Genomic DNA, 21342 nt, shown 5'->3' on the forward strand with positions numbered 1-21342 from the left:
GCTGGCACATTGTCAGTCACTGAGCTTGGTCTTGTAAGTGTGCATGCTAGATGGCTTAGGTGCCTGTTTAGTGGTGCATTAAAAAAAATCAGGCTGGGTGCAGTGGCTCATGCATGTCATCGCAGCACTTTGGGAGGCCGGGATGGGCAGGTCATCTGAGGTCAGGAGGTCGAGACCAGCCTGACCAATATGGTGAAATCCCATCTCTACTAAAAATACAAAAATTAGCTGGGCATGGTGGCGGGTGCCTGTAATCTCAGCTACTCGGGAGGCTGAGGCAGGAGAATCACTTGAACCAGGGAGGCGGAGATTTCAGTGAGCCGAGATCGTGCCACTGCACTCCAGCCTGGATGACAGAGCAAGACTTCGTCTCAAAAAAAAAAGAAAGAAAAAATCAGAGAGTGACTTTAACTTAAACTTTTAACTTTAAATTCGTATTGTCAAGCTCTTAAAGAACTGTCACCTATTTTGTTTAACTCAATGCTTTTTTTTTGATTGAGGTAAGATATGCTTTTTTTATTAGTCAATGGCTACATTTTTCTCTACCTCCTTTTGTAGAGAAAGTAAACATTTGAGAGCAGAAGGAATAGAATATTGAGTGATACATAGTGTTTGAACAAGAGAGGTAGTGAATACTCTTCAGGAAGGAAATGCAAGCTGAGCGAGCCCTCCTTGTCTGACTACAGAGGGATGACAGAAGCTGAAGTGGGCATCAGATTGGCCATTTGATTTCTGGAGGAAGGGGTCAGGAGACATCCATTGTTAAGGTGGAAAAGCTTGTGTTTTAGACCTGTCTTCTGGGAAGAACTCAGTCCTAGCCTGCCATGAGGCTCTTCTTGCTGGGTCTTGGTGGAGTTTAAGGTGTTTTTTTGGTGTGATAGAATTGAAGCTTTATAATGTGTCCACTTCAAGTTAAGATAGAGAATCCCTGGTTTGTTCAGAAGATGCTTCCTTGTTGAGGTAAGCCCAGGAAGCTTGATGGAGTGGAGAACGTGCGTGGGTTTTGGAGTCAGCCAGGCTTGTGTTAACATCCCTATTTGGCCACTTTTAATCTGTTTCTTCTGAACCTATTCCTACATCTGTGAAAAGGAGATGATGTCTGGTTTGGAGAGGTGTTAGGGTTAAACGATAAAATGTATGCAGAGGTATATACATAGCAATGCTTCTGCAGTGGGCCGGTCACTTGCCGGTACCGTGATTCATGTTCTGTGCAGATGTGCTGTCAGAACAGGCTGGTTGGCCAGCCTTCCCCCACCCCGGCCCCCGCCCCAGACAGAGTCCTGCTGTGCTGCCCAGGCTGGAGTGTGGCGCGATCTCGGCCCACTGCAGCCTCTGCCGGGTTCAAGCAATTCTCCTGCCTCAGCCTCCCAAGTAGCTGGGACTACAGGCGTGTGCCACCATGCCCGGCTACTTGTTGTATTTTTAGTAGAGGCGGGGTTTCACCATGTTGGCCAGGCTGGTCTTGAATTCCCGACCTCAAGTTATCCCCCGGCATTGGCCTCCCAAAGTGCTGGGAGTACAGGCGTGAGCCACTGTGCCCGGCCTGGTCAGCCTTTAAAAATGTTTTTAAATAGTTATTCATTGATTTTAATTGACAAATGAAAATATATTTATGGTGTGCCCATTAATGTTTTAATGTATGTATACATTGTGGAATGGTTAAATCAGGCTAATTAGCATATCTGTTACCTCACTTAGTCATTTTTTTGTGGTGAGAACAATTGAAATCTACTCTCTTGGCAATTTTCAAGTATACAATACATTGCCATTGACCATAGTCAGCATGTGGTGCAATCGATCCCTTGAACTTGTCCCTCCAGTGTATCTTTGGTCAGTCTTGCCGTCCAGTTCTAGCCAGCACTGCTCCCTGGCATCTGTGCCTGACAGGGTCCAGGAATGGAGGCATTGATAGTGATAAGGAGCCTTTATAGTTTAAGTCCCACTGACTAATGTGAGTTATTACTTCTTTGCTGATAAGACCCATAGCTAGTCAGATATTGGGCACCCTCTTCCTGGGTCGACCTTTGAAGTTTCTTATTCTTGTCTTACCAGCTTTCTGTAGGCCTTAGCGATCCTTTCCTGTAGTTAAGTTGTGCCTTTTTCCTAAAGGAGTTAAGGTCTCTTGTTTTGTAGTAGGTAGTTAGGGGGAGAAAAAACAGTTTATTAGCATCTTTTTAAAAAAACCTTTTAATTACTAATAGAACACCTAGCAAAATGTATAAATTCTAAAAGCACGGTTCAATGAATTATCATATGGTGAACATAGATTATTCCCAGCACCACAGAAAGCCCTCCCATTGCTACCTCTCCTATCAACTGTTTCTTGATAACCTGCTAGAGGCAAGGTAGTGTTTGACCAATATCTGTGTGACTCTAGTAACTTAGCCTTGTACAGGAGATATATATTTGTGTGTGCACACGTATGTGTGTGTGTGTGTATATATATATATATATATATAAAATGAATATAAAAATCTCCATGATCCTAGCAAAATCCTACTGCTGCTGCTGCTGCTTTTTTTTTTTGAGATGGAGTTTTGCTCTTGTCACCCAGGCTGGAGTGCAATGGCACGATCTCGGCTCACTGCATCCTCCGCCTCCTAGGTTCAAGCAGTTCTTGTGCCTAAGCCTCCCGAGTAGCTGGGATTACAGGCGCCCACCACCACACCCAGCTAATTTTTGTATTTTTAGTAGAGATGGGGTTTCACCATGTTGGCTAGGCTGTTCTCAAACTCCTGACCTCAGGTGATCCACCCCCAATCAGCCTCCCAAAGTGCTGGGGATTACAGGCGTGAGCCACCGCGCCTGGCCTGTACTACTTCTTTAATCCAGGTCACAAATTGCAGTTTTTGAAGCTTCCACCCCTTCCTGCTCCTGAAAGAAAAGGTCCATGTCTTCGTTCATTCAGCCATTCATTCAGTAAATATGTGTTGATTACTTATAGTGTGTCAGACACTTGTGAGGTGCTGGGAACACAGCAGTGCATTAGAGAAAGGCCCTGACCTCAGGGAGCTTGTATGTTTAGGTCTGACTCATCTGTGCTAACCCAGTGCCCAGTGTCATGGTTGGTGTTTTTAAGCGTCTGCCAAACTGAATTAAGTAGTACTCCCTTTACTGGTTTCCTGTAGCAGTCATTCTCTTGTGTCATGGTTAGCTGTTTACACCTCTAGATTCCAGGATCCTGCAGTGTCAGTTATCCCTCTTGTGTCCCCAGTCTCGTGCACAGGGAGGGCTTCAGTCTGATTGTTGAAAGTATGCTAAATACCAAGTAAATGCTACAGTCATAAAGTGTTGTCGCAGGTGGAGAGGAGTCAGAAAGTGTTAATGACTATGCTAAAGCTTTTCTTGCTAAAGTCACCAGTAATCACCTAGTCTCTAAATCCCGTTGGAGCTGTAGATTCTTTACCTTGACTTTTCTGTAACACTTGACAGTGCCCTTGTCCTCTGGGAAACTTTTCTTGGTTTCACTGCTCTTGGCTGGTTGGCTTTCTTCACTCTCACCATTCTTCTCAGTCATCTCTGGGCCCTTTTCTGCCTATGGCTGTGTCATGCCTCAGAATCCCCTTCTTGATTCCCTGTTTTTTCCCCCTCCATGTTCTGTATTCTCCATTTGTCAGTGCTTCGCAGATTGGGTATTTCCTGCCTTGAGTCCTTTCCTGGGCTTCTTTCTCATTTATTCAGCTGTCACTGGGCATTTCCACATCATGTTCTTCACCAATGATTATCCAGAATGAGACCCCTAACAATACCTGCCTCCTGTTCCTAGCCACAGACCTGCTGCTCTACCTGTATTTTCTCTCCACACAGATGTACAAGACAGAAACCTTACAGTCATCTCTGTCACTCCTGCACTTCCACATTCTCCCACATCCATCCTGTCTCCTGGTGCAGTCAATCTTGCTTTCTGAATTTCTCTTGAAATAATTTCTCCTCCCAATCCACATCCATATTTCTTGCCTGGGTAACTCTCCACTGACTGATTTCCCAGCTGCCAATCTGGACCACCTCCAAAACATTTTCCACATTGCTGCTGGAGTGATCTTTTAAAAATGCAACTCCGATGTTGCCTGTCCGTCGGGTACATTCTTCAATAGCTCTTCTTTGCCTTCAGTCTTGCTGTCATCCTGTTCTCCCAGCTAAGCCACAGGAGGCTTAGTCCCTCCAGCCTTGCTTCCTGTCACTCCCTCTTTGCCTTATCGGTCCTCCCCAACCCTGAGTTGTCAGCACTTCCAGTTCCCAGCTCTTGAGAGCTCACCTCCACACTAGTGCACGTGTGTTGATGCTGCTGCTTCTGATGTGCCTCTTTTGTGTGGTCACTTTTACTCATCCTTCAAAGACCTCTTGAGCTGTCACTTCCCCTAGGAAGTGTTCTGTCAGTTGACTGCAATCTGAATTGAGGTTTGCATCCTGTGTTTTTCTTTCTCTGACACCACCCCATACTGTTCTCTTCTCAGTAGACTGAGTTTCAGGTCACTGTCTTTATCTCTGTCCATTGTGCCTAGAATATTGTAGCTGCTCAAACATACTTGAGTGAATGTATTCAAGTCCTTTTTTTTTTTAAACCATGATTGTGAGATTGGATTACCTGGGAGTTCATCTGGGTCTTTTTTGTTTCTCATTCTCATGTCAGAATTTAAGATTTGAAAACTGAATTTCACATGTATAGTTTTGGGAAAAGTCATCTTTAAATGAACCCTACATTTATGGCAAAAATTAGGGACAGGACTGAGTTTCAAGAAGTCGTTAGGCCACAGGTTTTTTGAGGGATGGCACAGGCTTTTAACTTACTAAAAAGGACAACTTTTGGCTGGGATTGATGACTCAATGCCTGATGACTCAATGCCTGTAATCCCAGCACTTTGGGAGGTCAAGGCAGGAGGATCACTTGAGGCCAGGAGTTTGATACCAGCCTGTCAACATAGTAGAACCCCCCATCTCTACAAAAAATAAGTAATGAGCCAGGTGCAGTGGCATGCACCTGTAGTAGGAGCTACTCAAGAGGCTGAGGTAGGAGGATCTGTGGAGGCCAGGAGTTTGAGGGTGACAGATGGAGAGACCCTGTCTCTAAAAAACAGGAGAACAACCTTTATCATACTTTGCCACTTTTTATTCTTAATCAGAAGTAACACATGTTCTTGTAAAATGTTGATTTAATACTAATGGAGTGCCTACTGCAACTCTCTTGATTCCACTGCCTTATTTTTTTCTTATATCACTAATACCATTTGAAATAATTTTGCACGTGTTTATTGTTTATCTCTTTTCAATGTATTTCTTTTGGTAATAGCTAATACTTCCCGAGCACTAACTATATACTGAGTGCTATTCTAAGTGTTTTATTTGTATTAATGCCTTTATTTCCTCTCACAGCCCTTTCAGGTAAGGTACTATAATTATCCCCAATTTCAACATGGGAAGACTGTAGCACCAAGGAGTTAAGTACCCACTGTGTATAGAGTGCCAGGTGGGGCTGGCATTTAAACTCTTGGCTTCAGAGTCCAAAAAACCTACTCTGCTCTATTGAGTCTCAGTGCAAGCCTGAAAGGGCACGTATGCCTTCTCCTGCAGTGCCTGCACCTAGAACGGCTCCCTCCTCGTAGTTGACATTCAGTGTGGATGAACACGAGGTATTCCAAGTAAGAAGTAAAAATAAAATCCTTCAGCACCTGTGGTACTGTGATATAATAAGAAATATGTGTTTGGTCTCTGCCCCCTCATTCCTGGCACAGAGCTCCTAAAACCCTGTGGATAGGGGCACTAGGAGAACCTCTTGTTCTAATATGTTCCTGACACAGAGCACCCTCAAACCTTTGTAATTTCCTGGGTGATAACAGAGCTCCTAAATCCCTTAGAATTTCCCAGGTGATAGGAGCATCTTTTGTTCTAACAAGATAACTGTGGTGGGCTCCTGGATAGCCAGGATGGTGGCTGGTTGCTAAGGGAACGAACCGCGTGATTACGGTGTTAGAACTTTCAGCCCCATGCCCCTGACCTCTGGGGAGGTGAGAGGGAGAGGGGGGCTGAAGGTCGAGCTGATCACTAATGACAGCATTGTGATCAATGATGCGTATGTAACGAAGTTTTCATAAAAACCCAAAAGGACAGTGTTTGAATGAGCATCCAGATAGCAGAACAGGTGGGGGTTCCTGGAGGGTGACTGCCTCGAGAGGGTGTGGAAGCTTTGCACCCTTCCCACATGCCTCACCCTTTGCGTCTTTTTAATCTGGCTGTTCCTGTGTTTCCTTTATAATCTTTATAATAAATTGTTCCCTTTATAATAAATGGGTAAACATAAGTAAGTGTTTCTTTGAGCTCAGTGAGCCAAGCTAGCAAATTAATCGAACCTGAGGAGGGGTCATGAGAACCCTGATTTAAAAACCTCTGTCAGAAGCACAGGTCACAACCTGGGACCTGCCATTGGCATCTGAAGTATGGGGCAGTCTTGGGGACTGAGCCCTCAGCCTGTGGGATCTGGCGCTCTCTCCAGGTAGATCGTGTCAGAATTGAATTACAGGACATCCAGCTGGTGTCTGCTGATGAATTGATTGGTTGCTGGTGGGGAGAAATCGCCATACGTTTTGGTGACCAGAGGTGAAATATTCTGTGCACGGTAGAGGGTAGGAAAGGCACTTTGGTTTTTTTCCTACATCTTCTTGGCGCACTCTTCCTCAGAGGTTAGTTGCTGTAATTTGTTTTCCTCATAAAGCTTTTCCTTTTCAATTACAAATATATATTTATGCACAGATGTAGTACTTATAAAATGAATGTTACCTCTCTTGGGAAACAGACTTTTTTTCTTCGCAACTCTTTGGAGAGCATGTCCCTTGAGGTGTGACATTATTTTAGCTGTGTAACAATTAACTGGATCTGAGTTGTTTTACATCAGCTAAATATCAGTCTCCTTGAGATTTGGGAAATATTTAAGTCTCATCAGCAGTATTTTGGGGAAGGGGGTGCTCCTGCAGACAGCAGCTGCTGTTTTCTGTTTGTTTGTTCATTGATTGATTGATTGAGACACAGTCTCGCTCTGTTGCCCAGACTGGAGTGCAGTGGCATGATCACTGCTCACTGCAGCCTCAACTTGCTGGACCCAAACAATCCTCCTGCCTCAGCCTCCTGAGTAGCTGGTACTATAGGAGTGTGCCACCATGCCCAGCTAATTTTAAAATTCTTTTTAGAGATGGAGTCTCACTTTTTTGCCCAGGCTGATATCTAACTCTGTACTCCAGTGATCCTCCTGCCTCGGCCTCCGAAAGTGTTGGGGTTACAGGTATGAGCCACTGTGCCCAGCATTCTGTGCGTTCTCACTGGCTGTCATGCCCTGCAAAGAAAGTTGACCAGGTGCAGTGGCTCATGCTTGTAATTCCAGTGCTTTGGGAGGCCGAGGTGGGATGATCACTTGAGCCCAGGAGTTCCAGACCAGCCTGAGCAACACAGTGAGATCTTGTCTCTACAGAAAATTAAAAAAGAAAGTAAAAAAAATTAGCTGAGTGTGGCACCTGTGGCCTAGCTAGCTACTCTAGAGACTGAGGTGGGAGGATCACTTGAGCCCAGTAGTTTGAGGTTACAGTGAGCTATGATTGTGCCACTGTGCTCCAACATTGGCAGTAGAGTGAGACTTTGTCTCTAAAAAACCACAACATTTTAAAATTTATTTAATGTCCCTGGATTCCTACAGGTATTGAATTCCTATGGGTATGGGATTTTGACTGTGGTCTTTTCCTAGTTTCTATAACTGTGCTGATAAGAAAAAAGAGACTGCCCTTTTTTTTAAACAAAACAAAACAAAACAAAACATCTGGAAGTTGGTCAAGTCTTATCTTTCCTTCTGTTTCTCTCTGGTGGTAGCAGACAGTTTACCTGTAGGTCAAGAGTTTTTAGATTAGCCTGGGATCCATGGATAGGAGTCAGAAGGGCTATCTATCTTCTGAAACCACATGTAGAATTTAGTTAAGTGTGCATTTCACATTTCACTGGGGAGAGTGTTTCATGTCAGATCCCAGGATGAGGATAAGCACGAACACTTTTTGATATAGGTGTATTCTTTGTCAAGTTGGCAACAAGGATCCTGGAAGCTGACTTGATTTAGGGATTAGAACATGTTTTTCCTTTTTATTCCTAGTCCCAGAAAATGATATCAGTGGGAATAAAATGAGAGAGGGCAGTTTGGACTGTTCCTCAGTGAAGAACAGGGGTTTGCACTCATCAGGTGGATGTATGGGCTTAGCCTGTATGCGGGGGCACCTGTTCATATTAAATCTCATGTTGTGGTGTGACAGCAATGTCATGACTGCCTTTGTCCCCTTGTGAGCTTTGTATCATGTAGAGTGGAGATAGCTCACACCCTCATTTAACTGGCCAGTTAATGAGGCTGCTGCTGCTGTGAAGTGTGTGTGTGCTTGTATATTGTTAAAAACTTAACATATAGGTTATTACTTTGGTAAAAGTAAAAAAAAAAAGTATATGGTATAAAAAGACAAATCACACTGTCTCAGTGGTACCACTTCCTAGTGAAATGATCTTGGGCAAAGTTACTCGCTGTGTGTCAATTTTCCTCATCAATAAAATGGGTACCAAAGTAGTGCCTGCCTGTATTGTGAGGATTGTAAAGATTACATAAAACAATAAATAATTCAGAAAAGGCAATTGAAATGTTTTCTGGTATATGGAAAACTGACAATAATTATCTCTTATGATGGTGGTGGTATTGATAACAATAATGACACCTAGAAAGGCCTGTAACCAAAAGTCAGTAGTCCTTCTTTCTTCACCCCAGCCCATTTTTAAGAAACAACCACTTTTAAATCCTCTAGCTATTTCTTTTATCTCCATATTTCAAAAAATTACATTTTCCTAATTTGCATCACTCCCTCAGCCTCGACTATGTTAAGCTTCTTTATTGACTTTCTCTTTTAGAAGATCAGATCAGGTTTTTATTTTTTTCTAGAGATAGGATCTCACTATGTTTCCCAGGCTGGAGTGCAGTGGCTATTCACAGATACCATCATAGCACATTGCATCCTTGAACTCCTGACCTCAAGCGATCCTCCTGCCTCATCCTTCAGAGTAGCTAGGGCTACAGGCATATGCCACCATTCCCAGCTTGAAGATTAGGGTTTTTTCTTTGTTTGTTTTTTGAGACTGAGTCTTGCTCTGTCACCCAGGCTGGAGTGCAGTGGCGTACTCTTGGCTCACTACCTCTGCCTCCTGGGTTCGGGGTTTCACCATGTTGGCCAGGCTGGTCTCGAACTCCTAACCTCAAGTGATCTGCCCACTTTGGCCTCCCAAAGTGCTAGGATTTACAGCCATGAGCCACTGCACCCAGCCGAAGATTAGGTTTTAAGTGACACCTCCTGTTTCCCTACACTTTTCTTCATCTTCTGATGCAATTATATGAAGTTTTGGTTAAATTGGCATTTAGTGTTAACATAATGATCATATGAACATTTTAACTGCTAACCTGAGTTGAAAAAGTTGGGTGAAATATTGTTTATTGACTTTAGTTATGAGTGAAGTTAAAGGTTGTTGTGTGGTTGCAGTTTATTTAGGTTTATTTTATGACTTGCTCATTTTTCTCCTCAGATGCTCAGTTTTACCTTACTGGTTTGTACAAGCAGTCTGGACTCTTAGAAAATATTGGTGGAGGTTGAACTTCTTGAAGAAACGTTGAGCTTTTGTCAGGTGTGGTGGCTTACGCCTGTAATCCCAGCACTTTGGGAGGCCAGTGCAGGAGGACTGCTTGAGGCCAGGAGTTCGACACCAGCCTGGCCAACATGGTGAAAACCCATCTCTACAAAAAATACAAAAATTAGCCGGGTATATTGGCGTGTGTCTGTAATCCCAGCTACTCAGGAGGCTGAGGCAGGAGAATCGCTTGAACCCACCGAGGCGGAGGTTGTAGTGAGCTGAGATCATGCTGCTGCACTCCAGCCTGGATGACAGAGCAAGACTCTTGTCTCCAAACAAAACACACACACACACACACCCACACACACACACACACCCCCAAAAACCCCCTGAGCTTTACATCCATAGATGAGGAGTTTGGAATACAAATAGATGACCTGTTATCTGTGTCAGCTTTTGATACTATCTGCCCTTCACGTCTTTATTCTTAGATTGTCATCTGTGGGTGGAAAACCTTAAGTTTCTACCCATAGAAATAAGCCCACCATATTTCAGAAAACATGGTGGGTCATAGGAAAGCACTCAGATGGGACAACCTAGTTGGATTTGGTACAAAATGAGCCAGATGTGGGAAAAGGCAAATTAATATGATTATGAAAAGTAAGAATGATGGAGCTGGGTGCGGTGGCTCAGGCCTGTAATCCCAGTTTGGGAGGCTGAGGTGGGAGGGTTGCTTGAGGTCTGGAGTTTGAGATCAGCTTGGCCAACAAAGTGAAACGCCATTTCTTAAAAAATATAGTAGGGAAGAGCAGAGGTTTCTTAAGAGTGCACTCAACAAAAGGATTAGGCTGATCTAATAATTGGAATGTCAGTATTGATTTAGTTTTCCTTGGTACAGTCTACCCAGAGTGGGGGAAGGGGCAGAGCATAAGGATAAAGGGGGAGTTGTGGTTTTGTGGATCTCAGGTGTTTACCAATGAACTAGGTGGAGGTGGTCAGGTGGTGGAGAGCTTCTGTTCTGAGAACCTGACCGAGAGGCAAAACATTGTCTCTATGTAGTGCTTGGCACAACCGTGGGCTCCGATCTGGGAAAGAGTGGACTCGGGACCACAGCAGATTTCTCTATGGGGCTGCAGTCAATGAAATTGTCCTGAAGCAAGCCTGGTCTAGGGCGTTCTGGCCTCTAAGATTGAGAGGGATGGTGGACAGGGCAGTGGGCCAGAGGTGAAGTGAGATGAGGAAGGCCAAGCCTTTTTCTCCTGAGGAAGCCAGTGCTAGGGCACTAATTATAGTTTTACACAATGCCAGCTTCCAGCCTGCATAGAGAAACATGAAATTTCTGCTTAAAACAGAGTTCCTTTTTCCATTTTTGGCTCTAAACTTTTTGTGTTGGAAGTTAGGAACCAATTTTGGAGAGTGATTGTAGTGAGGGAATCTGGAAAACCTGCGAAAATGGAGAAGCTCATTTTAGGCAGGAAAAATCTGTCTCTTGGAATGAGTAGCAGAGGGTTTTCTTGCTCAAGGTAGTTTTCTTTTCTGTTCTTGGTGTGGTGCCTGACTCCACATTTTTCACCCAGCTCTTAAACAGGTTTTGCTGAGTAGCTACAGGCAAGTCATCTTCTCTGTAAATTAGGTGTAGTTAATAACACCTGTTACTCAGAGAGTGACTGGATTAACAGGTAAGAGTTTGGACTGGAGTGACCCAGAAATGGTATGAAATAGTGAGAAGAACTTGAGATCGCTACGTGTCCCAGAGAAGACACCTTCCTTAGATCTAAGTTGAGGAGACTGAATTAAACAGCCTTTGTTCATTTAAAAAACTGTTTTTATTTTTATTTATTTATTTTGAGACAGAGTTTTGCTCTTGTTACCCAGGCTGGAGTGCATGTTGTGATCTTGGCTCACCACAGCCTCCACCTCCTGGGTTCAAGCGATTCTCCTGCCTCAGCCTCCCGAGAAGCTGGGATTACAGGCATGCCCAACCACGCCCGGCTAATTTTGTATTTTTAGTAGAGATGGGGTTTCTCCATGTTGGTCAGGCTGGTCTCAAACTCTCGACCTCAAGTGTTCCATCTGCCTTGGCCTCCCAAAGTGCTGGGATTTTAGGCATGAGCCACCGTGCCCGGCCTTATTTTTTAATTTTTAAATTTTTCTTAGAGACAAGGTCTTGCTCTGTTGCCCAGGCTGGAGTGCAGTGGCATGATCACAGCTGTCTGCAGCCTTGAACTCCTGGGCTGAAACCATCTTCCTGCTTCAACCTCCCAAGTAGCTGGGACTACAGGTGCACATGCCACAACATGCGACTAATTTTTAAATTTTTTTTTTTTTTTTTTTTGAGGTGGAGTCTGGTTCTGTTGCCCAGGCTGGAGTGCAGTGGCGAGATCTTGGCCCACTGCAAGCTCCGCCTCCCGTGTTCACGCCATTCTCCTGCCTCAGCCTCCCGAGTAGCTGAGACTACAGGCGCCCGCCACCACACCCAGCTAATTTTTTTTTTGTATTTTTAGTAGAGACGGGGTTTCACCGTGTTAGCCAGGATGGTCTTGATCTCCTGACCTCGTGATCCACCCGCCTCGGCCTCCCAAAGTGCTGGGATTACAGGCGTGAGCCACCACGCCTGGCCTTTAAATTTTTTTTTTTTTTTTTTTTTTTTTTTAATAGAGAATGGGTCTCGCTATGTTGCTTGGACTCCTGGGCTCAAGCAATCCTCCCCCTTTGCCCTCCCAGAGTGCTGGGATTACAGGTGTGAGCCAGTGCACCCAGCTTAATCAGCCTGTGAAGTCCCCTCCAGGTCACACAGGGTGAATCTTGGGAAGGCAGACTGGAGATTCTGCTCCCCCTGTTATCTCTGTCTTGTCTTTAGAGTTGGTCCAGTGCACCTGGGTGTGTCTGAGATCATGTGCCCCCAGGGGCAGCAGTAGTGAGAAAGACGGTTGTGAAAGGCACATTGTCATGATGGTTTTTCTTTCTGTGGTTTATCCTTATTTCCTGGCTTCGCCCACAAGCACAGATTCTCAGCCTCTTGCCTTTGTCTACTTTCTTTTGAACATTTATTTGGAAGCCCTCATTTTGTGCCCATGTTTTTTTTTCCTGGATCTGGATGTGGTTAATAGGAGTGCCCTCAGCCCAACCTGAGTACCTTGTGTAGATAGTCTGGCTAATTTAACATTCTGAAAGACCTCCTTATAGCCTGATGAGAATCAAAGTCAAGCTGGTAAAGCTACTGTTGCTACTCTGTGCATGCCACTCCCCGACCCCTGCAATATTTATTAAAATGTAACCGTTTCAGGGCTCAAGGCTTGAAGCTGCTTATGGATTTTTTTTTTCTTTCTAACACAAAGGAAAAAAATGGGATACATGTGCAGAACGTGCGGGTTTGTTATATAGATATACGTGTGCCATGGTGGTTTGCTGCACCTATTGACTCGTCCTCTAAGTTCCCTCCCCTCATCCCTACCCCCAGCAGGCCCTGGTGTGTGTTTCCCTCTCTGTGTCCATGGGTTCTCGTTGTTCAACTTGCACTTACGAGTGAGAATATGAGGCATTTGGTTTTCTGTTCCTGTGTTAGTTTGCTGAGGATGATGGCTTCCAGCTTCACCCATGTCCCTGCAAAGGACATGATCTTTATGGCTGCATAGTGTTGCATGGAGTATATGTACTACATTTTCTTTATCCATTCTATCATTGATGGGCATCTGGGTTGGTTCTAAGTCTTTGCTATTGTAAATAGTGCTGCAGTAAACATATGTGTACATGTGTCTTTATAGTAGAATGATTTATATTCCTTTGGGTGCATACACGGTAATGGGATTGCTGGGTCAAATGGCATTTCTGGTTCAGCATCCTTGAGGAATCACCATGCTGTCTTCCACAATGGTTGAACTAATTACAACAAAAGCCAAAATTGATAAATTGATAAAGTTGATCTAATTAAACTAAAGAACTTCTGCACAGCAAAAGAAACTATCATCAGAATGAACAGGCAACCTATAGAATGGGAGAAAATTTTTGCAATCTACCCATCTGACAAAGGTCTAATATCCAGAATTTACAAGGAACTTAAACAAATTTACAAGAAGAAAGCAACCCCATCAAAAAGTGGAGAAAGGATATGAACAGACACTTCTCGAAAGAAGACATTTACGTGGCCAACAAACATGAGAAAAAGCTCAACAACACTGATCATCAGAGAAACGCAAATCAAAACCACAATGAGATACCACCACACGCCAGTCAGAATGGCGATTATTAAAAAGTCAGGAGACAGTGGATGCTGACGAGACTGTGGAGAAATGGGAATGCTTATACACTGTTGGTAGGAATGTAAATTAGTGCTTATGGTTTTTAAAAGGCTTCCAGAGCAGGGGACCCATATATTTAGTCCCATAGAACACATCCCTTAACCTGCCTCTTAGCATTTCATCTATCCTTCCTTATATAAGTTCTTTCTTCTGGAGTTGGGACAGGAGGTGTCTTGTTATTTGGGTAGAAAGGAGAAAGAATGGGTGGGTATGTGGACAAACGGTGCAGGGAAATAGATAGCATGGGAAGTGTTGCCACAGCTCTATGGAAACTACTTGGATATTATGATTAATGGATAGTCAAACATCTCTCAAATAAATATCAAAGAGTGATCTTCCCTTAAAGGTTATTGTTCCCAAGTTTATCCCTCTCTTGGTGCCCTGGCTCTGGTTTCTTTTCTTCTAAGTTGCCCCTTTGATTACTTGTCATGTGAATATCAAGGCCTGATCCTTCCTCTGTGTGAGCTCCAAGGGGCCGCCTTCCAGTGGAGCTTTGTAGAATCATATGTGTCATAGAGAACAGGTTTTAATGCTGGGCTGCTGTTAGGCTTTAGCGCTAGTGCTGAGAGGCCCCACAAAGAGCTGAACCTACTGATGAGGCCTCTCCCAAATCTAATCAGAGATGGGGGAAAATTTGGGTGCTGGGAAGAGCAGATCATCTCAGTGATTTTAATGCCCACCTTTATTTGCAAAGTGAAAGGAGAAATATATTTCCCTATTGCATTTCCTACCCTTCACTTGTCAGGCATATTTGATATTTTTTTTTTTGTTTTCATTTAAAAAAAATTCCAAAAACACCATGTCAAATATGTCAAATATTTATTTTTTAAAAAGTAGGCCAAGTATTAATGTCTTTCTGCTAAATCTAGTGGGTTCTCTCTCACCCACCCCCGCTCCAACCAGGTGTTTGCAGAAAGGATCTTTTTTTTTTTTTCCGGAAAGGATCTTTATCCAGAAAGGAATTTTAAACCTCAGAGTTAAGTTCTTCTTCACCTCAGTGCTTCCCTCACTAAACATCATCCTTACCCAGAATGTATTTCATAGAGTGTTCCTCTTTCCATCCTTTGATGCTTTATGACCCATGAAAATAATGAAAAGTATTTGTTTCGGGCCCCTAGTATTACCAGGTTTAGGTACTATTGCTATCCTGCATCTTTTTCATTCTTATCTCTGTGCTGTAATTCTATCTCCCTTCTTGAGTATTTCACAACTGGAGACAAGTGAGTTATCTTCCCTAGAACTCTTAACTTACCCTAAGTGTAAGGCTCTGGATAGACACTCAAGGGCTTTTGGAATGTCCACTCATGGGAGCAGCTGTATTTTGTTGCTAGAATATAAAGACCTCATCTTTCAAAATTTCTTTCTTAACAGTTAACAGTTTTAGATTCTTGGATGCTGAATGTTCACCAGTTCTTTCAACTAGATCTGTGTAGTCAGAAGTCCATGCTCTTTGGGAAGTCTGAGAAACTTTAGGTGCCATTCCTATCTCCTCTCATTTTGGGGTTCAGATTGTGAGGCAGAATGCCTGTTGAGACTTTCTGAGCGCATAGGAAGCATTGGAGCAGTGGGATCTGGAGTGGCTTCACCAGGCACCTCAGAGCACAGTGGCAGGCTGAGAACGTCTGTGTGATCTCACACAAAAAGACTGTCTGGGAGTTGGAAACCACTCCTGCCTGTGTGTTACTTCCTGCTGCTGGACGTATGTGTGGTATTTGGTGTTGCCACACTAGGTGGGGGATGGAGAACAAATTATGTCTGCTCCTTGGATATTAGTTAACCTCATTCAGATGATTCTTGGGTGTCCCATGGGGAAGTAAACCGATTTCCCTGGTTTTGCTGTAGGACCTGATTAGTCACATACTGCAGAGAACCAACATGTAGCATAAGGCGCCATTGCCAGCCTGACCAGTGTAGTAGGGAACTGGGTCCCACTTCCGCAGCCCCCAGCCCTGTCTTCTAGAGTTAGACTGTACATTGCTAACTAGGCTTCCTTTTTTAAAAATAAATAAATAAATAAATAAATAAATAAATAAATAAATAAATAAAGTGAGTGTGTCTTTTGGATCTCTTCAGATTAGAAAAAAATCTGTATTTGACTTTTCCTATGTTTGTTCTGATTTTGTTCAGTCCTTTACGCTGAAGCAGCTCCCCCACTCTTCCCACTTAACTCCTATCTTACTTCACCATATCTTTTCTAGTCCATGAATACTACCTTCCATGCTTTATTCTGGTCCTCTAAATCTTTCCTTTATACTTCTGTTTTTCCTGCCAATCCCCAACTCGTACAGAACCCTACTGTAGGAGAACATAACTGAGAAGAATTTAACTGGGTTTGAATAATTAAATAAATTCCCATACGAAGGTATAATAAATAATTTTCTAGATACTTTGTACACATGACACTGAAAAGAGAGGGACATATTCTGTAAAGTAGCTCACTGGGGGAAAATTACCATTGCTACATTTTCAGCCTTAAATTGTAAGGAGTGCAGATGGTTAGCCAGCCTATGTTTCTCCCACCCACCTTCGTTTTAAACTATCCTACCCTGGAAAGATGGATGCTTATAAAATAAATGAAAAAGACTTTACCTTTAGAATGACATAGATTGTGATTGACAGGTCCAGGTAGCTCTTGTGTATGTGAAGGGGAGTTATATAATGTATTAGGCTTTCTTAATTCATTCCACAAACACCTATTCCTAGTTCTTGTCTGAATCTCCATTTATTTTGCAGCAAAGATGTCCCCAAATAAGGTGCTTATATATAGCAACAGATTCTACTTCCTTACATTTTGTTTCAGGACAGCTCACACAGTTTTTTTAACACATTTCAATGGGCCCAGAATCCATCGTGGTAGGAAGTAAAACTGTTTTTACATATATATTCGGTCACTTCCCAGTTTTTTCTTTTCTTTTTTTTTTTTTTTTTTCTTGCAAGCTCCTTCTGTCTGGGCTGACTGAGACCCACATAACATCTCAGCCAGCTGAGTTGGACATTCCCGGGTTTCTGTTGGTGTCTGAATATGTGCAGAGCAGTAGAATATGTGCTACTTGAATCTTGCTGTGCGTGAGCTGCTGGAAGTCGCTGTGTCTGACTAGTGTGTAGAAGCTGGGGCTACCTGTGATGGGGAACATGAATATTCGAGGAGCACAGGTGGATGTGGGGTGGGGACGTGGGGTGTGCATCGTCACAGAGCCAGCCTGGCCCTCTGGAGAGTTGGAACCCTGTTTCCTTGTCCTGGCCAATGTGAAACCTTGGGAATAGTTGCAGAGTAGAGAAATCAAAATACACAATCTATTCTCTGCTTGGCCTTTTTACGCCCTGGTGCAGATTGACTAACCTGTGGTTTTTGATCATCTCTGGTCCAGCGGTTGGGAATCTGTGCTGTCTATAGCATCTGAGTGTTGTGAGAATAAAATGTGAAAATAGGTATGAAAATATATATAAACCATAAAGAATTTCCCCATGTTAAAATGATGTGTGTCTTCCAGTGTAGAAGGTTTTATCTTTTCTATATCTGTATATATAAAAAACATTTATTACATATTATAAGATACATATGTCTGCATTCAGATGATAAAACTAAGGCCCGGAAATGAAAGTATCTTCCCAAGCTCACACAGCTAATCAGTGGCCTAGCCAGTGCTTGAATCTTCTCTTTGAATTCTGATATCTAGTAAGCTGAGTGGGGCCCATTGAAGCAGTAGCCAAATTATGGTACTAAGTACCGTCTGATACATTAATTTATTCAGCAAACATTACGTGCCTGTTGTATCCCCAGCTCCTGGTATTTTGGGTATTAGGTGATTTTTTTTTTTTTTGTCATTAAAATTTCCTCCCCCCACCCCCACCCCACAAGTAACTTGTAATGAGCTTCAGAGGCATTTAGCTTTAAAACAAAAATCTTCCTCCCTCTTTTTAACCACACTACCCTTGGTTCTTAGTTTAAAAATTTAGTTGACATTCCTGTGTGTTTTTATCTTGCAATTGGCCGGAGGGTTATTTATTAGGAAAAGAGATTTTGAATGATTTCAGTAAGTGAACTAGGAGTTGTGATACACGATTATATTAAATTGCTTATGGTTAGTTTTCCAGGAGGTGATTTAATTGTTCACCTTCCTAAGTCTTCAGTCTTAGGCTTATCCAGTGGGAGCTGGAAAGCTTTAATAGGCAAGTTTATTGGAACACACTTCCAGAGTCAAATGTCACTCTTGGCAGCTGCAGATGTCAACTGGGACAAGTATTCAGAGCCTGAGAATTAAGGATATGTGTTAAATATGGCCCTCATAGGCGGCCCCAGGGTTTTTTTTTTTTTTTTTTTACTTTTGCGAACATGTTGACAGAGATGAGGCTCAGAAGGCAGGTATACATGTGCCTTGTCTTCATTCTCTGCAGAGAGAATGTTTTTAGGGGCTTGGGAAAGTATTTCAACTCGAAGAAAGGACTTATAGTTACTAGAATCTTCACATCTGCTTTCTCGAGTGACCTTGAGTCAACCACAGTCTTGTGGGGTAGATGGTATTATTCACCCCTCTTTTGTTACATATTAACATGACAAAACTAAGACTCAGAGAGGAAGTGCCTTCCCCAAGCACATGCAGCTAGCCAGTGGCACATCCAGTACTTGAACCCTTTTCTCTTTGAATCATGCTTTGTACTAAGCTGATCACGGTCCACTGTAGCAGTAGGTGACTTATGGTACTAAGTACCATCTGATACATTAATTTATTCAGCAAACATTGAGTGTCTGTTGTATCTCTAGTACCTGGCATTGCAAAGATGAGTAAGGCAGTAGACAGATAACTGACATAACCCATGACAGTGCAGTTGCGTAAGTGGCATGATCTGGAGTGCAGAGTACTGTGGGGACACCCATGAGGGAGCCACAATTGCCTGGGGTAGGGAGTTGGAGGAGGCAGATGACAGGAGGTAATGACTGAGCTGGAGCTGGAGGGATGAGCAGGAGTTAGGCAGATTGCAAAGGGGGTGCGGGCATGTGCTGGGTGGCATTTCCAGACAAAATCGGAGGGCTTGGAACAGCAGTGTGTGCTCACACCTGGTACGTAGCAGGAGTGAGAGGCAGGAACAGCAGTTTGAGGCTTGACAGCCCTGTGTGCGAAGCGAAGCATTTGAATGATGTCTCATTACCACTGTATACCACATGTCCTTCCCCTGCAGCTTTGGCTGACATCTGTCATTCTACCCTACTCCTGTTGGCCTTACTTTCTCCCTTTTACCCCTCTCAACGTTTGCTTTAGGCTGTCAGTGTTTACTGCACCCCATAAAAGGTTAGATCCTCCCACCAGGCCTGATCTGACTACTAGGAGAGACTGTCTGTATCTGCTGGAGGGATTGAGAGAATTGGTACAGAAGGAGTTTTGTGGATCATGACATCTAGAATTAGCACTCTGAGAAAGAGGGAGTAAGCATGGTATTAGGATTGGAAAAAGGTTTTTTTCCTTTCAGACCATTACAAAAACTCATGAGTTCAGGATGTATCAGTTGTGTGAATAAGGTGGATGTTTGAAGACCCCACTAGCATGTGTTGAGTTTACAGCCACTGTGCAAGATGCATCTTAAAGATTGATAGTCTGTGCACTTTTATCCCGAGGTGTGAGGTACTGGACCTCTGTCATAGGGGAGAGAGTAGAGGCTCAGAGAGGTTAAGTAACCTGCCTGAAGTTGCTCCACCAGTAAGATATGGAACCAAGGATTCACATGTGGGCTGGCCAACCTCTTCATGCCCTGTGCCTCCTATGTGTGTAGGTGGGTCTGTCACTACTGCCCTGGGTGTCCTGCAGAATGGCTGTGGTTCCCAGTCCACCCCCTTGGGAGCCTTGCCTACATTAGCTCGATTTGCTGACAGGTGAACAAACAAGCAACCAGCTGCTCTGATAGGCCTGGGAACTTGTCCCCGGAGAGAATGCCCAAGTCCAGGAAGGTTATGCCAGGTCATGAAGCAGAAGTGTCTGGACATGTCACACAGTCTGCTGAGCCAGCAGTGCCCACTTCATAGCCCTTTCTGTAGGGCCCCTGTGTTGACTCCCTGCATGGTACTCGTCCCTTAGCCCAGGAGAGGCCCCATGGGAGGAGGGAGAGTTGCAGCAACTTCTGGACCCTGAGCCATAGGAACTTCCCCTTCCCAATCTCTGAGAAGATGTTCACAGTGACCTGGCCAGGGTCACTGCAAGAAAGAAAATGGAATGCTGATGGGGCAAGGGTGACAGGGAAGCCAGGCATTCCAGCTGTGTTCAAAGCAGTGACAATGACTGTGGGAGCGGGTCCTGTTTTATATATTCATCATTCTGAGGCCTTCAGGGACTATTTTGTTAGCTACATAAGTGTTGAAAGGGCTGCGTAAACCAGAAATCAAATTCTGTAGATTGGCATCTGCTGGATAAATCTTCTGCTGGGATTGCTACAACATGTTGAATAACCGTGTGTTTTGAAGAATGAAAAAGATAAGACAGTTCACTGAGTTGCAACGTTTATGACACAGGGAATGGAGGACTGTAATTAAATCTACATAAAAAGGCCATGTTTTCCAAGTGTACTTTGAACTTGGGGCAGGTGTTCTGAGTGGGTGGGTGCATCATCTCATTTCCCCCTGCGGAGGAGGCTGCTGGCAACCTGGGAATGGAGGTTAACACCATTTGTTACCCCTGAAGTTTCTGGATGTCTAGAGGAGGACCCCCTTCCTGCGCCCCGCCCCTCCATGCACCAGTCCAGAGCTGTGGTCTCCTTCCTGTGTTGGAGACTCGCTGCTGGTCCTCCGCTGGTGTCTGAGTTGGTTAACCTTAACTGAACCCCTTAACTGAACTTTTCTTGTTACATGTATTCCAGCTCTCAGTGAAGTGACATTCTGCCCTCTGGGCCCAGATCCCTGAACCCTTCCCTGCATTTCAGACCTAAATAGCACCCTGTCAGAAAGATCAGTGGGGCCGGGAGCTGTGGCTCACGTCTGTAATCCTAGCACTTTGGGAGGCCAGGGTGGGTGGATCACTTTGAGCCCGGGAGTTTGAGAACATCCTAGGCAACATGGTAAAATTCTTGTCTCTACAAAAAAACCCACAAAAAATTAGCAGGGTGTGGTGGTGCATGCCTGTGGTCCTAGCTACTGGGTGGGGAGGAGTAGGGGGAAGCTGAGGTAGGAGAGAATCACTTGAGCCCAGGAGTTCAAGGCTGAACTAAGTCATGAGTGAGACCCTGTCTCAATAAGATCAATGGGTTGGAAGTGAAAGTCCCTTCCCAAACTCAACTCTGGGGAAGAAGCTCTTGCCTTCTCTGGCCCTCCCCTGCCCACCTTGTCCACCCTGCTTTGCCCATCACAGCAGGCCTCCCGTTCCACTGCAATAACCCTCCCCACTAGTCTCCTTGTGCGGGACCAGTCTTTACTCTTCTTTGGGTTGCTGTTTGC

General features: G+C 44.0%; 1 protein-coding gene across 2 annotated transcripts in view, besides 3 other annotated features; it reads left to right on the plus strand.

The window, feature by feature from the left end:
- Positions 1-21342, plus strand: part of UCK2 (uridine-cytidine kinase 2) — an 84005-nt gene that overhangs the window by 11061 nt on the left and 51602 nt on the right. The gene's annotated exons all lie outside the window — the stretch shown is intronic.
- Positions 4195-4381: a silencer, noted in NCBI's record as "fragment chr1:165812106-165812292 (GRCh37/hg19 assembly coordinates)". NCBI's record gives its function as "represses an EF-1alpha promoter that drives an FKBP-Casp9 reporter gene in an ReSE screen in K562 erythroleukemia cells {active_cell/tissue: K562}" and the evidence as "EXISTENCE:reporter gene assay evidence [ECO:0000049][PMID:32094911]".
- Positions 11924-12138: a silencer, noted in NCBI's record as "fragment chr1:165819835-165820049 (GRCh37/hg19 assembly coordinates)". NCBI's record gives its function as "represses an EF-1alpha promoter that drives an FKBP-Casp9 reporter gene in an ReSE screen in K562 erythroleukemia cells {active_cell/tissue: K562}" and the evidence as "EXISTENCE:reporter gene assay evidence [ECO:0000049][PMID:32094911]".
- Positions 18338-18632: a silencer, noted in NCBI's record as "tiled region #1747; K562 Repressive non-DNase unmatched - State 8:EnhW". NCBI's record gives its function as "represses a minimal TATA promoter and a strong SV40 promoter by Sharpr-MPRA in K562 cells {active_cell/tissue: K562}" and the evidence as "EXISTENCE:reporter gene assay evidence [ECO:0000049][PMID:27701403]".

Source organism: Homo sapiens, chromosome 1 (genome assembly GCF_000001405.40).
Source record: "Homo sapiens chromosome 1, GRCh38.p14 Primary Assembly".
In the NCBI taxonomy this organism is placed as follows: domain Eukaryota; kingdom Metazoa; phylum Chordata; class Mammalia; order Primates; family Hominidae; genus Homo; species Homo sapiens.